This window comes from Homo sapiens, chromosome 13, assembly GCF_000001405.40.
Source record: "Homo sapiens chromosome 13, GRCh38.p14 Primary Assembly".
Classification (NCBI taxonomy): domain Eukaryota; kingdom Metazoa; phylum Chordata; class Mammalia; order Primates; family Hominidae; genus Homo; species Homo sapiens.
Window position 1 is genome coordinate 77,279,410 of NC_000013.11, and position 16,860 is coordinate 77,296,269.

Genomic DNA, 16,860 nt, shown 5'->3' on the forward strand with positions numbered 1-16,860 from the left:
ATCAGACTCTATATCCAGCAAAAGAGATAAATTTGTTACTAAAGATTGAGAGAGCAAATTGCAATGAATGAGTTTAAGGATATACCTTCATAAGACTGATAAAACAAAAGACAAATTCCATTTCTCAGGCAATGTCAACATTCTGAGAACCAGTTCAAGAAGTATTAATTAAATTGTTTGGAGAAGTAACAGAAAAATTGAAATAAGACTAATTAGTAGAAACTCCCAAAACCATTAATTCTATTGAACACAACAGTGGAAGAATATTCTCTCTGCTGATATTTTTGCATTAATTCATATATTACATAAATACCTCCTAAGCACTCATATTGTGCAAACTCACTTTAGGAAATATGAAGGTATACTAGACCCTGTCCTCTAAGAGTTTATAATCTAATAGGGTAAATTAGTCATGCTATATAATTCATACTCAATACAGACCTCTGTTATAGCATTTATTACATTACAGTATAACTATTTTTGTTTTCATTTTCCCAACCATGTTGGGATCTTCCAATATACAAGGAACATGTCTTAAACGGCTTGTATTATCTTCCAATATACAAGGAACATGTCTTAAACGGCTTAATACCTCCCATGCCTAGCCAATTACCTAGCATATGGTAGGCACACATTAAATATTTGTTTAATTTATTCACTAAATTGTTTGCTAAAAAACCACTGCATCTCAGAAATACATTTTCTAAACCAGAAGCAAGTCGGCTGAAGGTAAGTCAATTGTAGTTCTGATTAACATTTACAAGTTTTCTGGAAACAACAGATATAGCTAAGAAGTCAAATAACTAGGAGGACTGTCTTTGGAGAAGTTATCTAAAATGCTAACAGACTTGATTATAGCTAATATTACAGAAGAGTCTGCATAGAGTTTCAATTGATTAAACACATTAAGTGATTAAACTTTCACATTTGATATAGTTTCTTTTCCTGGAATGGACTAGAAAACAAGAACATGCTGTCCAAGATTTCCATCTGCTTATGTACTTACAGGAAAGAGAAATGTGAAGTCAAAGATCTCCAGAGTACAAAATATGGGGCTCTATTCTCAAGCCAATGGAAGACTACTATATTCTGTTATTCTTTCAGATTGCTTACTCTGCTACCAACCATGATTTTTCATAAATCCAAGAGGATTTTTCACAGATGACATTTTTGGCTAAGGTTCATTTATTATAGATACAGTTTCCTACGGTGACAACGGAATTATTGAACCTTGCCAGAAACAGTAAGACTGCCTAATGAACAGGTTCTTGATCTCTCTGGTAAGTTTAAGGTGTAATAACAAGTGAATGGCAATAGGCAACTCAGGTGGGCTGCCTAGAAACAGAGCTAGCCGGTTTTAGTGAGACTGGCCCATAAAACTTTGGTCACAATGATGATAGGGAACTCTTCATCTGTCTGGGTTAAACACTGTGAGAGTCTCACTAATTATCCACATCTTGGTTCATTGTAGACTTTTTGTTTAACAAATGGGAAAACATTCATTTTCAGAATAGTAATATATATTCAATACACAACAAAAATCAACCTCAAGTTCTGCAACTATTAAAGAATTTTTAATATTTAGCTATGGATTATTGCACAGAGGTAACAGACATGTTCTTAAATAAGTCTTTTTCTGCTGTTTGGCTAAGTATAAAGTATTTTACCAAAAGTTTGAACTTTGAAAGTAGACTTTAAAACAGTTTGAAGTCTTATAGTCAATGAAAACACATATTTCTCCCTCCTTCAGTATCAGGAAGGAAGAGTGTAAGGAGAAAAAATATAGTCCTGCCAATATAGTATTATTTCATTTGTGTGTAAAAAACATTTTAATGTGTACATAGAAAAAATGACAAAAGAAATAAAAATGTTTATATTGGGGTATATTTTGGTTAATGGTATTTCAAATATTACTTCCGATTTTTAATACCTCTTTAGAAAAATGTTCTGATTTTTCAAATCATCTACAATAAATATGTATAATTAGCAAAATAAATAAATGTGATATTTAATAAAAATAATAATTATAACAATAAAAGAACACAAGAAGCTTCAATACTTTCCATAACGAACTATAACTAATTACCCAACACATGCTTTCGCACTTCTCTTCAGAAAATAGTCTTTTGTAAATTTACTGAATTTTACCTTTACTGCTGCTCTCAAATAATTAAATTTTGAAGGTTATCTATCATATTTGAAAGATAAAGAAACATGAAGCCCAAATAATTACCTGATACAGCCAGTCTAATATGCTAGGAAAGTGAGATAAAAATATATTTGGCCAAAGAAAAATGATATATAAAGAGTCTTTCAAGGTTTTATTTTGCCCTTCTCAAATCATATATTTCCAAACGTGACTTTATTATTTCATGACTAAGTGTGATCATAAAAGTTTAGTTACATCACATTTGGATTTAATAATTAATTCTTTACCCTTAAAAATTGTATCTTGTTTAGTTAAAAGGTCCTAAAATCACTTCCTATACTTTTATATTTGAAAAAGCTCAAAAGGAAATCAAAATTATATTTACATATTACCATAGAGTGAAGTATACTGTCTTTTAAAATTGTTTGTATAAAGCAAATATTTGGTACAGAGATAATATCTACAAATAATAAAAAATTTAAAAATCTAGAGACAGAGAAAAAAGGAGGGGGAAGAGGCAGCAGCAGAAAGAGAGGAGGAGAAGGCTAAGATGGAGAATTCTGAATGTGAGGCCGGGTGTGGTAGCTCACACCTATAATCCCAGCACTTTGGGAGGCCAAGGTTGGGAGATCACCTGAGGTCAGGAGTTGCAAACCAGCCTAGCCAACATGGTGAAACCCCATCTCTACTAAAAATACAAAATTAGCCAGGCATGGTGGCGCATGCCTGTAATCCCAGCTACTTGGGAGGCTGAGGCAGGAGAATCACTTGAACCCAGGAGGTGGAGGCTGCAGTGAGCCAAGATCGTGCCACTGCACTTCAGCCTGGGCAAGCAGAGTGAAACTCCATCTTGAAAAAAAAAAAAAAAAGAAAGAAAGTATGAGTGTGAAGTTTCTGAGTTCCTTGCCTAACAAATTTATCTATGACTACTACCATCTTCTTCCCTTCTCTTCACACTCAGAGGAAGAGAACTTTTCAAAACTTTTCAACTTTTCAAAGCTATTTTTTCAAACAATGTTCTTGATCCCACCCCCTCCGATCTCTCACAGAAATTTGTTTCAACTTGTGCCTACATAGTGATAACTCCCAAATCTATTTTTCTAGCTGACACTTATTTTTTGAACTTCAGCCCTACATAGCACACACTGGATACTTCACATTTACCTCAGAATCAGCATGTGAACTAAACTTGATCATCATTTCAGCCAAGCACTGTTCCTCATCCAGTATTCCCTCTTTCAGTAAAGGCCCTCACCACACAAAACCTTTAAGAATATCTTTAGATTCTGCCTTCTTTTTCAGTCGTTATAGCCAATTTATTACTAATTCCTGTCAATTCTGCTTAACATTTCCTATATTCAAAACACTGTCACTACCATAATTCCAACCCTCATTAACACTCTCTAGACAACTGCAATAACTGCCTAAATGGTTCCTCTGTCTCCAGTCTCACTCACCACCCTGTAGTTATGGATATGCCTTACTAACCGGAGTACAAAGTTACTTACTAACTGGAGTACAAAGTTACTTACTTACTGGAGTACAAAGTTACTCCAGTGTTAGTAAGGCATATTCATAACTACAGGGTGGTGAGTCTGATGCAATCATGCAAGTCTGATGATATTCTTTTGCTTAAAATCTTCAATATTTACTAATTATGAGATAACATCTGAATCAATTACATGGCACATAAGGCCCTTCATGATTTAGCTTCCTGCTCTCTCTCTCTTGCTCTATCTCAGCCAGTGTTGAGTCCTTTCTCTAACGTGTTCCACTATATCTAGCACTCCCTATCAATCCTTAAGGCACTAGAGAATATTTATTGACCTGGTTCTTATCCCTACAAGACAATGCTTTCTTGAGGGCAGGAATTATGTCTCATCCTTTTGTTCTCAGGACCTAATATAATGCTGGCTACAAATTCAAAAAGAATATACTGAATTAAGAAAGAAATGATCCTAGGTAAGTCTAAATCTTTTAATAATGTGGCATGACTGGCTTCAAATGGGTTCAGATGGGAAATATGACTTCTAAGCGTTACTATTTAAAAATTATGCACCAGGCACGGTGACTCCTGCCTGTAATCCCAGTACTTTGGAAGGCTGAGGCGGTCAGACTGCTTGAGCTCAAGAGTTCGAGACCAGCCTGGGCAATCTGGCAAAACCCCATCTCTACTAAAAATACAAAAAGTATCCTGGGGTGGTGGCAAACACCTGTAGTCCCAGCTACATGGGAGGCTAATGTGGGATGATCACTTGAGCCCAGGAGGCGGAAGTTAACGGTGAGCTGAGATCACGCCACTGCACTCCAGCCCCAGTGACAGAGCCAGACCCTGTCTCAAAATGAAAATAAAAACAAAAATAATAAAAATTATGTAGCTATAAAATCTGTAAAGTTTTAGAGGATGTAGATTTTAGTGACAGTTTGAGCTGGTTAAAAAACTTAATGTAGAAGCATTCAGGGAATAGAAAGCTCGTTTAAATACATCAATGATTACTGATCCGCAAAACACAAAAACAAAAGCAAAAAGCAAAAGGGTGACAATCAAGGTCTATATAACAGTCAAACTCAATTTATTAGTAACTAAATAATAATTTAAAACTCAAGAATGGGAAAAATAAAACTGTATTACAACAACACTTCAACAACAGATTAAAAACTGTCTTAATCATGTTAAGGAAAAAAAAAAAAGAGTACAAGAAACAGAAACCTCAGGCAAGAAGGAATGGGACAGCCACACACTTAGGAGGAGCAACAGAGGAACAAAGAAAAGGAGCAAACTAGGATAATAGCAGCATTTGGGGCTGAGGCACAGAGAAGGTCAAAGGGAAAAGAAAAATGCCAACATTTCCCACTTGCCTTCAAATCCCATCACCTCAAACCTTAAGAGACTAATTTCGTCCTCAGTGTCAATCCTTCATGTCATGGAAATGGCTGCCAAAAAATATCACCTGAAAGTTTCACTCCCCACCCATAGTATCTGCTTGCCTCTGCATAGAGGCATCTCATCACTTCTTCCTCTCTTTACCTCTCATTCATCAGGTGATTGCACTGATTCTCTAGAAGTTTCATTTGCTTGCATAATTTTTTTAATAAACTGAAGAGTTCCTTGACAAGTAACTCAAATTCATTTGCACCTACACATTTTCTTGTTTGCACCTAAACTGACACTTACAACTATATATATCATTTACCGAGCACTTCTTTCTGCCAGGTACTGTTCTCTCAAGCACTCAACATCCATTAATTCATTTAAATTGTCACTACAACCCTATGAGGTAGATGCAACCCCCAATCTATAGATGACAAAACTGAGGCACGGATGTGTCAAATAACTTCCAGTGTCACATAGCTAGTAATTTTAATGGTGTTTGAACCCCAGCAGTTTGGCTCCATAACCCATGCTAACCCTGTTTGCAGACAGGTCAGTACTTGGTAGAAAATTCAGTATTAATCACTTGGGCTATCTGATCTTCTTTAATTTTCTTTGAAAGATACCCCTTTGACTCTGTTAATTATGCTGCAAAAGGTTATCTTAAGAATGCCTGATATTTCATTTAATACTCACTAATCCTGATGTTTTTAAACACCCTAGGAATCCATTGTTCTTGTTTATGCAATTTAATTTGAACTACAGTTTACTATTCAAAATCTGCATACCTGTGTAAAAAATTTACCCAGGCTTTTGTTTTCTCTCACAATATTGAACTTAAGTAGCACAATTACTATAATACAGTGTGACTCACACATACACAGAATTGGTATTCTAACTAAAAAGTAAATTATACAAGTCCTCCAGCCCTACGTCCTAACTCAACTATGTTTTTTATCTCAATCTCTCCTAGTTAAGCATAAGAAATTACAATTAGAGACCATAATTTCTATGTAGAGCAGCTCCCATATTAAAGATAAACATGTTTGTTTTAGGTTAAAGAAAGAAGCTATTGGCCAGGCACGGTGACTCACACCTGTAATCCCAGCACTTTGGGAGGCCAAGGTGGGTAGATCACCTGAGGTCCAGAGTTTGAGACCAGCTTTACCAACATGGAGAAACCCCATCTCTAATAAAAATACAAAATTAGCCAGGCGCGGTGGCACATGCCTGTAATCCCAGCTACTCAGGAGGCTGAGGCAGGAGAATTGCTTGAACCCAGGAGGCACAGGTTTCAGTAAGCCAAGATCATGCCATTGCACTCCAGCCTGGACAGCAAGAGCAAAACTCCGTGAAAGAAAGGAAAGGAAAGGGAAAGGCAAAGGAAAAGGGAAAAGGAAAGGGAAAAGAAAAAAGGAGAAAGGAAGGGAAAGGAAAGGAAAGGAAAGGAAAGGAAAGGAAAGGAAAGCAAAGGAAAGCAAAGGAAGGAAGGAAGGAGCTATTAGAGTAGGTACAGTTAGGACATTGCAGACAAAGGAAATAAGAAAAAGAAAAGGGTCCCACTCTAAAACAGGAGGCAAAAAGGACATGTGAAGATGGCTGATCAAGAAGCTGAGTAAGTTCACAAAACTTGTATTACTCTATGAAATATGAAGCAAGCCATCTGCCGAGAATAAGGTGAGAAGAACCTGACAATATGATTAAGGATGGTGGTGTACTTAGGAACAGCCACCATAAAATGTGCAAAAGAACTCAGACCAGGTTCCATTTATGCTGCTATTTCCAAGTAGTAAAAAATATTTACACAATCCCTTGTGGATATGTATAAGCTTTCAAGGCATAATTTTAAGGTATCAGTTTAGTAAAAAGGCAATAGTCATAAATCATTTATAATTATAAAATCATTTTGAATAGCTCTGTTTAGAAAAAAGCAATATGCATAAGTCATATAAAGGCACCATTTAAAAATGTCTATATTTTCACCTATTCTTTTGTTGTAAATATTAACTATATCTACTATATAGAAAAAATATATATAACAGGCTGGGTGCAGTGGCTCACGCCTGTAATCCCAGCACGTTGGGAGGCCGAGGCAGGCGGATCACGAGGTCAGGAGATCGAGACCATCCCGGCTAACACGGTGAAACCCCGTCTCTACTAAAAATACAAAAAAAAATTAGCCGGGCGCGGTGGCAGGTGCCTGTAGTCCCAGCTACTTGGGAGGCTGAGGCAGGAGAATGGCCTGAACCTGGGAGGCGGAGCTTGCAGTGAGCCGAGATGGCACCACTGCACTCCAGCCTGGGCAACAGAGCTAGACTCCGTCTCAAAAAAAAAAAAAAAAAAAAAAAAAAAAAAAAAAATATATATATATATATATATATATATATAGACCTTCCAGTCTTAAATATACCAATACTTAAACAGAACAGAGTAAACTGAGAGTAGTTCTATAATACAGGTTTTTTGTTTTGGTAAATGGAGTCTAGCTCTGTTGTCCAGGCTGGAGTGCAGTGGCGCCATCTCGGCTCACTGCAAGCTCCGCCTCCCGGGTTCACGCCATTCTCCTGCCTCAGCCTCCCGAGTAGCTGGGACTACAGGCGCCCGCCACCGTGACGGGCTAAGTTTTTTTTGTGTTTTTAGTACAGACGGGGTTTCACCGTGTTAGCCAGGATGGTCTCGATCTCCTGACCTCGTGATCCGCCCGCCTTGGCCTCCCAAAGAGCTGGGATTACAGGCGTGAGCCATTACGCCCAGCCAGTTTCTTTTTTTTTTTTTGAGACAGTCTCACTCTGTCACCCAGGCCGGAGTGCAATGGCATGATCTCGGCTCACTGCAACCTCCGCCTCCTGGGTTCAAGCAATTTTCCTGCCTCAGCCTCTGAGTAGCTGGGATTATAGGCGACTGCCACAATGCCGGGCTAATTTTTGTATTTTTAGTAGAGACAGGGTTTCACCATGTTGGCCAGGCTGTTCTCAAACTCCTGACCTCAGGTGATCCACCCGCCTTGGCCTCCCAAAGTGCTGGGATTACAGGTGTGAGAGCCACTGCGCCCGGCCTACAATACATGCTTCTATTATAGAAATACCAACTAGTTTATATGCTCCTGGTAAATAAGGGAGTAATATCAGAATAATGCAGAAGTTCAGTTGGTTCATAGGTGATTTTTTTTTTTCCTAATCAAGGGAAACCACAATATCAAGAGTACAATTATAAGCTTAGGCAGAAAGGAAAAGGCTCTCAGCCCTGCTACTACACAGCTGAGAGGCTTTGTAGTTCTATTTCAAGAAAAATAAAAACGCATACCTGCATCCCAGGTGAGGAGCACCTCCCAGCTTTCCAGGGCTCTTGGCTTTCTCTTGTGCCCACCTTACTCTCGGCTCACTGGCTCAGAGCTCTACTTCCATCTGCCATGGCTCAATGCCTCTATACTAGCATTTCCACCCTACTGCTTTTGTACATTTTTTAATTGCCCCTATAACAGACTCCAACCCACTGATCTCCCTTCCTGCGCTTTCCAGTGAATTATCAATTATTGACTTTGTTAGCACCTTAGTTATAAAGTTGCAGAGTTTTCCTTTTCTGCTCCAAATCTATTTTTGCCCATAAGCCGTGTTATTTTTAGTGTGCAATTTTACATAAAGCAAAGTATTTTAGCAATGCGTATATATGCATTATAGCCAGAACACCTGCAGGTTACACATCTAAATATTAATAGAACTCAGTGGCTTACCTTTGGAAGCTTGATAGGGGGCTCTTTGGATTCCTCTTCTTCATCACTATCTGATTCTCCACTCTGCACAGAGTTCTTAGATGCGGCTGCCAATGATATTTCCTTTTTCTGCCATTCCAGAACGCAATGGCGTACATTACAGTAAATATTGAAAGCAGAAGGATTGCTATGTAGTTTGATATCTGGTATGATTACTGTATTCTCTAAGTTTTCAGACTGAAATACAAAACAGAATATTTCCATTTCACACTCTTTTCTATCATCAAGTCCCATTTTACATAAAAGTAAAGATTAGACACACTAACTGACTTGCAGAAGACACATTATGTGACACAGCAGAGACAGTCTAAGTCTATGGACCCAACTTCTAGTCCCCTTTTCTATACCTCACTATTTTTTGAGCAATGCAGCAATAACCAACCAATCTGACAAGGGCTGGAAAAGGATGGGCAAAAAACTTAGAAATATTCTTGTATCGCCATGACAGGAATAGACTCAACAAAGCTTAACTCTTAGAGTTCTGTATCAAAGGAAATTCATTTTACGACTTCCTAAGAGACTCTAGACACACTGTAGAGTCTCAATGACCTACTACAAACATTAGATTGCATTTTGAATGCTTTTAAAAGTAGATATAGAAGTTTACACAGAAATGAGGGCCTCCCAAAAAAACACTTAATTTTCATCAGCTCATTTCATTCTCATTCAAGTAACAGTAATGCCAAGTAAACTGTAGATGCTTCCCTAAGCTCTCTCTCACCTATCAGTATTGATAAAGGCTAAAAATCATGTGATTGGTAATTTGTTAAGACTAAACAGTTTCTCTTTTATGCCCAATATTTTATTCATCAGACAGCAACTACAATTTCAAGATCAACATTTATATTATAAATATAAAAAGCTGTTTTAAAATATTTTAGAAATTCAACTTCCAATAATTAGAGTATGTCCAGGAAGTATCTAAGATAAACAAAATGATACCTCAAGTACCAAAAACACTTGGTCCCAAATATTCGACTCTTCTTCCATAAAGAATTGGAAAAAAAAAATACACTTGTTAAATAAGAAATACATCAAAAAGTTAAATTGGCATGGCATATAACTTATGAATATATGTATAAGAGATATTACAAATATCTCATCCAAATATCCAGAGATATTACAAGTATTAGCTATTCAAATCCAACAATATATAAAAAAGTAATACATTATGACCAACTGAGGTTTAACCCAGGGACAATGCTGGCACAACACTGGAAAAGCAACCACTGTTGTAACAGAGAAAAAATATATTATACTTCAAATAAACACAGAAAGATCACTTGACAAAAATCCAGTATCGATTCATGATAGAAAAAAAAAAAGTCTAAGTTAGGAATAGAAGGGAATTTTCTCAACTTGATAAAGGGTATCTACAAAATAACCACAGCTAACATGGTAATAGACTGAATGCTTTCCCTCTAAGATTGTGATCCAGGCAAATTGGTCTACTCTCAGCAACTCATCAACATTGTACTGGATATCCTATCTAGTGCAAGGAAAATATCCTATCCAGCCAAGGGAAAAAGGCAAGAAGTATTTTCTAAAAAAGAAATGTTTTTACTTGTAAAAAAACATGTAGAGAATCTTAAGGAATCTGCAAAAAAGTTACCAGAAATAGTATGCAGATTTAACAAAATCACAGGATATAAAATTACTATATAAAAATGAGTAGTATATCCACATACTAGGAATGAACAACTGAAAAAATGTAATTTCAAAAATAATAGCATTGAAGTCACAGACTGGGAGAAAATATTTGCAAACCACATATCCAACAAAGGATGAGTATTCAGAATATATAAAGAATTCTCAAAAGTCAACAGTAAAAACAAACAAGGAATCCAATTAACAAATGGGCAAAAGATAGGAATAAACACATCAATATAGAAGATATTTACACAAAGGGTGAATAAGCACATGAAAAGAATTTCAACATCATTAGCTACTAGGAAAATGCAAATTAAAATGAGATATAGTACACACCTATCAGAATGGCTAAAATAAATAGTGACAACACCAAATGCTGGTGGGGATGAGGAGAAACTTATACATTGCTGATGGTCATGTAAAATGGTACAGCCACTCTGGAAGAAAGTACAGCAATTTCCTACAAAACTAAATATGTGCTTACCATATAATCCAGCAATTATGTTCTTGGACATTTACACCAGAGAAATAAAAACTTATGTTCACACAAAAACCAGTACACGAATGTTCGTAATAGCATTCTTTTAAAATAGTCAAAAGCTAGAAACAACTCAGATATCTTTTAATGGGTAAATGGTTAAACAAACTATAGTACATCCATACCATGAAATGCTTACTCATCAAGGAACAAACAATATGCAACAATGTGTGTGAATCTCAAAGACATTTTGCCAAGTGGGGAAAAAAAGCACCAATCTTAAATGATTACATACTGTACAATTTCACTGGACAACATTCTTAAAATGGCAAAATTATAAATGCTGAACAGATCAGTGGTTGCCAGAAGCTAAGGAGAGGGTGAGGAAGGAAGATACCTGTGGCTATAAAGGATATCACAGAGAATCCTTGTGATGGAACTGCTGTATATCCAGACTGTGGTAAGAGTCACATGGACCTACACATGTGATAAAATTACACAGACTTAGGTGCACACAAACACATACACACTGCATTCATACTGAAATCATCTCAAAGCAAAATAAATTTTCAAAAATAACTGCATTTACAGTAACATCAAAAATATATAATAATTGTAAATAAAAGTAATAAAATATGTGTAAGCCCTACACACTGAAAACAAAAAAGTGTTGCTGAGTGAAATTTAAAGACTTAAATAAATGGAGACATATACCATGTTCATGGATTGGAAAATTCAATATCATTAAAATGGCAATTCTTCCCCCAAAAGCAAGCCACAGAACAGGAGAAATGTATTTGGAATGCAGATATCTGACAAAAGACTTGTATTTAGAATATATGAGAAACTCTGGCAATTCAATAAGAAGAAGACAATTACAAAAATAAGAGGCAAGATCTGAACAGACATTTCACATCAAAAAAATAAGAATGGCAAAAGGTACATGAAAAGATTTCACATCATTAGTCATTAGAGAAAAGCAAGCTAAAACCACAATGGGAAACCCCTACTTAGTAGGCTGACTAAAATTTAAAAAGCGAATACCATATGTTTGCAAAGATATGAAGCAACTAGATTGGTCATATACCACTGGTGGGACTACAGATTGGAACAACCACTTTGGAAAAGAGTTTTCTAGTTTCTTAAAAAGCTAAATGTACAGGCCGGGTGCAGTGACTCACGCCTGTAATCCCAGCACTTTGGGAGGCCAAGGCGGGCAGATCACCTGAGGTCAGGAGTTCGAGACCAGCCTCCACATGGAGAAACCCCGTCTCTACTAAAAATACAAAATTAGCCGGGCGTGGCGGTGCATGCCTGTAATCCCAGCTCCTCGGGAGCCTGAGGCAGGAGAATTGCTTGAACCTGGGAGGCGGAGGTTGCAATGAGCCGAGATCGTGCCATTGCACTCTAACCTGCGGAACAAGAGCGAAACTCTGTCTCAAAAAAAAAAAAAAAGCTAAACTAAACGTACATTTACCGTGCCCACTCTGAGGAAAAAGTTAACGCTGCAGGCATGATTGCTTACTCCTTGTATTTCCCCAAGGAAACCATGATTGACCCTTGGCTAACCTTTGGGAATGTGGATGTTTAGAGTTTTCTTTGTGGTAGTGATTGATGATTGTGTTATGAACACACAGAGCAATGGACCATGCCTCCTGGCCTGTCAGACTGCTCTGCATGTACGAACATCAAGCTTTACAATGTGTACCTGAGTTTCACTTACCATGTCTGATTGACTAACAAGATATGTCTGTGTGACCAAACCCACAAAGTCTTGAATTCTAAAACTCACCTGAGCAAAAACAATATACACATTTCTCTGTAGTTCACTGCCAGAGAGAAAGCATGTCTTTCTTTCTGACATGAAAGCTCAGTCAATGAAGAACTAGGAAGCCTATGCCATAACTTCCTATACATCACAAACACATACCTTTTTCCTGCTGCTTGCTCTGTATCCTTTGTTGTAATAAATCTTAGCCATGAGTATAAATTGCTTGTGAGATTTATGAGTCCTTCTGGCAAATCAAAGGAAAAACCACCTAAACATTCCACTCCTCAGTATGCACCCAAGAAAACTGAACACACACACATACACACACAAGTGCATATATATGTATATAAAATCAGCAAAAAAATGGAATGAACTATTGATATACAACAACATTAACACAAATCATTATGCTGAGGGAAAGACACCAGATTTAAAAAAAAAAGAGCACTCACAATATGATCACATTTATATGAAGTTCTAGAAAATGAAAACTAATCTACAGTGACAGAAAATATATCTGTGGTTGTCTACAGCCAGGGTTATAGGGAGGGATGGAATCAGCAGAGGGTAAGAAAACCGGCCAGGCACGGTGGCTTGTGCCTGTAATCCCAGCACTTTGGGAGGCCAAGGCGGGTGGTTCACCTGAGGTCAGGAGTTTGAGACAGCCTGGCCAACATGGTGAAATCTTGTCTCTACTAAAAATACAAAAATTAGCTGGACGTGGTGGCTGGTGCCTGTAATCCCAGCTACTCAGGAGGCTGAGGCAGGGAATTGCTTGAACCCAGGAGGTAGAAGCTGCAGTGAGCTGAGATCGCACACCACTGCACTCCAGCCTGGGAGACAGAGCAAGACTCCGTCTCAAAAAAAAAAAAAAAAAAAGAAAGAAAAAAAAAGAAAACCCCTGGAGATGATAGAAATGTTCTGAACTTTGACTGCAGTAGTGCTTCTATGCATGAATGTTAACTTTCAAAACTTACTGAACTGCAAACTTCAAATCTCTATGTCAGGCTCAGCTACTGAGAAGCCTGAAGACAGACGCATTTGGGATTAGGAAGTTGAGGAACTTTTCTGAGTAATGAATTTGATTTCTCCTGTAAGAAAGTGAAGTCATGTGCTGGAAGGTAGAATTTATCAGAGGTTTGAGGAGCATGGCAAAGGTCTGAAATAATCACAGAAGAAAAGAGAACTATTTGACCAGAAAAAATAATAAGATAGTCTGGCTATGGTATACTTGAGATTGATGATCATGAATGTGTATCATTATCAGTTAACTCTTGTGTAACTCTCTTTGGCAGCACATGGAACTCACCTTAAGGGAGGGACAAAATAACTGGATTCACACAAGATTGAGTTTTGTCAGATTAATGCAACAAATATACAAGGGAGATATGGTAGGTAAATAATAGCCTCCAAAAACTTCTATACCCTAATTCCCCAGAACCCAGGTGAATATTACCTTACATGGCAAAAGGGACTCTGTATATGTGATTAAACTAAGGATTTTGAAATGCACAGATTATCTGGATGGGCCAATGTAATCACAAGGGTCCTTACAAGTGAAAGAGGGAGGCTGGACAGTAAGAGGAGGAGATAAAACAACAGAAAACTATCAGTGATGCCGCATGAGAAAACTCAACCAACCGCCACTGGCTTTGAAGATGGAAGGGGGCCACAACCCAAGACATCTGAGCAGCCTCTACTATAGAAACTGGAAAGGCAAAAAAACAGATTCCCTCCTAGAGCCTCCAGAAGGAATAAAGCCTTGCTGACACCTTGATTTTAGCTCAGTGAGATCCATTTTGGACTTCAGATTTCCAGAACTGTAAGATAACGAGTGTTAATTTAAACCATCAAGTTTTTGTAATTTGTTACAGATTAAATAAGAGTTTTTCTAAAAAGAAAGACTGGTATCTAACCTGGGTAAGATGGAAATTAAATAAAGGAGATGACTGATGGATGAGGAGAAATAGAGGGGTTGATGATAGCCATAAAGTAGATATAATGGCTATATATATATATATATATATATATACATATATATATACATATATATAAAATATATATAAAGTAGATATAAAGTAGATAAAATGCCAGCTAAATGGCATTTTAAAAATAACTTTCAGAAAGAGGGTAGATGAAAAATAATCTGGAAAAAGTAATACAGGTCAAGGAGACTAACAACACCATTTTACTACTTTATATGCTTTCCATGAGCAAAAAATGCCTCTTACTCATCTTTGTATCCCAAACATCCAGCATAATGCCTGCACATACTCAGCATGCAATTAATGTTTGAGGAATAAATGAATGAACTTACTTACATCACTGTTATCTCAAACTACTCTTAAAAAGAAGATATAGAAATACTGAGAGCAAGAGGAAAAAAACTGAATTACTAAGGGCACAAAGCTAGTTGGAGGCCGAATTGAAGGGGACAAAAGACCTTGACTTCTCCTCACCTCTTCCTGGATATCATATGCCACCACTTCAGGAAAATCACCAAATGAAACCTTAAAAAAACTTAAAAGATATTCAAGATTCCCATACTCCGATTTGCACATAGCACCAAAAAGTTGAAAAGGGATAGAGGTTGGAATGACTGTATTTGTTAGAGGTTTTCTGTATATTGACAATGCGCTCCACTTCCCTCCTCTATCCCAGAAGCAGAAGTAATGAGAAGGGATACAGTGAACAGATTATTTTTCTGCCTACCCGGCAACACTTTCCTTAGGGTAACTATTCCTCCCTCATTTCATGTGGCCTATTCACCAGGGTGCTCACCCACTGCCCATCTCAGGGTTAAAAATATAACTCAGTCTAACCAAAGTATCCCGTATCTCCGTGGTCAAAGCAAATGATGCAGGTAAACCGAAAATCCTACCCAAGACTTTCTGCTATGACTAGTATAAGAGATTGCCTCTTGCTCAGAGCAAATGGAGTTGGAGCTACTGGCAGCCTCAGCCTCAGTCACAGGTAATAAGTCCACACACAGAGGAAGGCAGAAGCAAGAGCTGAAAATATGGGTTTGATTATTTTTATTTATTTATTTATTTTTGAGACGGAGTCTTACTCTGTCGCCAGGCTGGAGTGCAGTGGTGCGATCTCAGCTCACTGCAACCTGCTCCTCCCGGGTTCAAGCAATCTCCTGCCTCAGCCTCCTGAGTAGCTGGGACTACAGGCACCCACCACCACGCCCAGCTAATTTTTGTATTTTTCGTAGAGACAGGGTTTCACCATGTTGGCCAGGATGGTCTCGACCTCTTGACCTCGTGATCTGCCAGCCTCGGCCTCCCAAAGTGCGGGGATTACAGGCGTGAGCCACTGCACCCAGCCAATGATATCATTTCATCCCCGGATCCATCTGTGTCTCAAGATAGAGCCACCAAATAAATGCCATCCCCCAACCTTTCATTTTATTTTAGGTTTGCTACTTTGAAGTAGATTTCTCTCAGTTACAATAGTAAAAACACTAACTTAAAAGTGTAGGAAACAATTGCCTCTATAGTTGCTATACAGGCCCAGCAAATCTATTGTTTCTTTAACTCAAAGTGAAGCTATTCAGGAATCATAGTTACGACTCCTCTCTTCCTTCTGTCTAGATGTTCAATAGAAAAGAGACTGTTATATCAAGTGCTCTGGTCACTGAAAATGTTCAGTATAAAAAAGATGGATTTTATAGAGATCTCTGCATTAGGTGAAAATAGATTCTTGGTTTCTAAGGTCTCACCTAATTCAAATATTCCATATTGCCTTTTCTTTTGCAGAGCTACCAACAGTCAAAAGAGGCTCAGAACAATATGGACACACCAAGTTTCCCTAATTCCTGTCAAGAAAGGCATATGATGAACCCAAATCCAAGTCCCAGTTTACAAGCTAATTTTACTCAAGTTTCTAGTACCTGTAGTCAGATTGAAAAAAGAGAACAGAAATGGATATGTTCCCCAAAGGACTGATCAAAGATAATAAGAATAAATAGCAAATAATTTTCAACATCCAGATATTAACTTCCAGGCTACTGGTCAAGAAAATCCCAGAAATAGGCTGGGCACAGTGGCTCATGTCTGCAATGTCAGTACTTTGGGAGGCCGAGGTGAGAGGATTGCTTGAGCCCACGAGTTCGAGACAAGCCTGGCCAATACCGTGAGACCCTGTCTCTACAAAAAATTTAACA

At 37.7% G+C, this 16,860-nt stretch overlaps 1 protein-coding gene and 1 long non-coding RNA gene across 2 annotated transcripts in view, besides 1 other annotated feature; one reads left to right on the forward strand and one right to left on the reverse strand.

The window, feature by feature from the left end:
* Nucleotides 1-16,860, reverse strand: part of MYCBP2 (MYC binding protein 2) — a 282,438-nt gene that overhangs the window by 234,753 nt on the left and 30,825 nt on the right. The window contains exon 3 of the mRNA NM_015057.5: nucleotides 8,752-8,967. Within this exon, the coding sequence (NP_055872.4) occupies nucleotides 8,752-8,967 (216 nt within the window). The remainder of the gene's footprint in view (nucleotides 1-8,751; nucleotides 8,968-16,860) is intronic.
* Nucleotides 1,244-16,533, forward strand: LOC124903184 (uncharacterized). The gene is made up of 3 exons (XR_007063827.1): nucleotides 1,244-1,280; nucleotides 4,046-4,111; nucleotides 16,454-16,533. It is a non-coding gene; the product is annotated as an uncharacterized LOC124903184 (long non-coding RNA).
* Nucleotides 11,990-12,193: a silencer, noted in NCBI's record as "fragment chr13:77865534-77865737 (GRCh37/hg19 assembly coordinates)". NCBI's record gives its function as "represses an EF-1alpha promoter that drives an FKBP-Casp9 reporter gene in an ReSE screen in HepG2 liver carcinoma cells {active_cell/tissue: HepG2}" and the evidence as "EXISTENCE:reporter gene assay evidence [ECO:0000049][PMID:32094911]".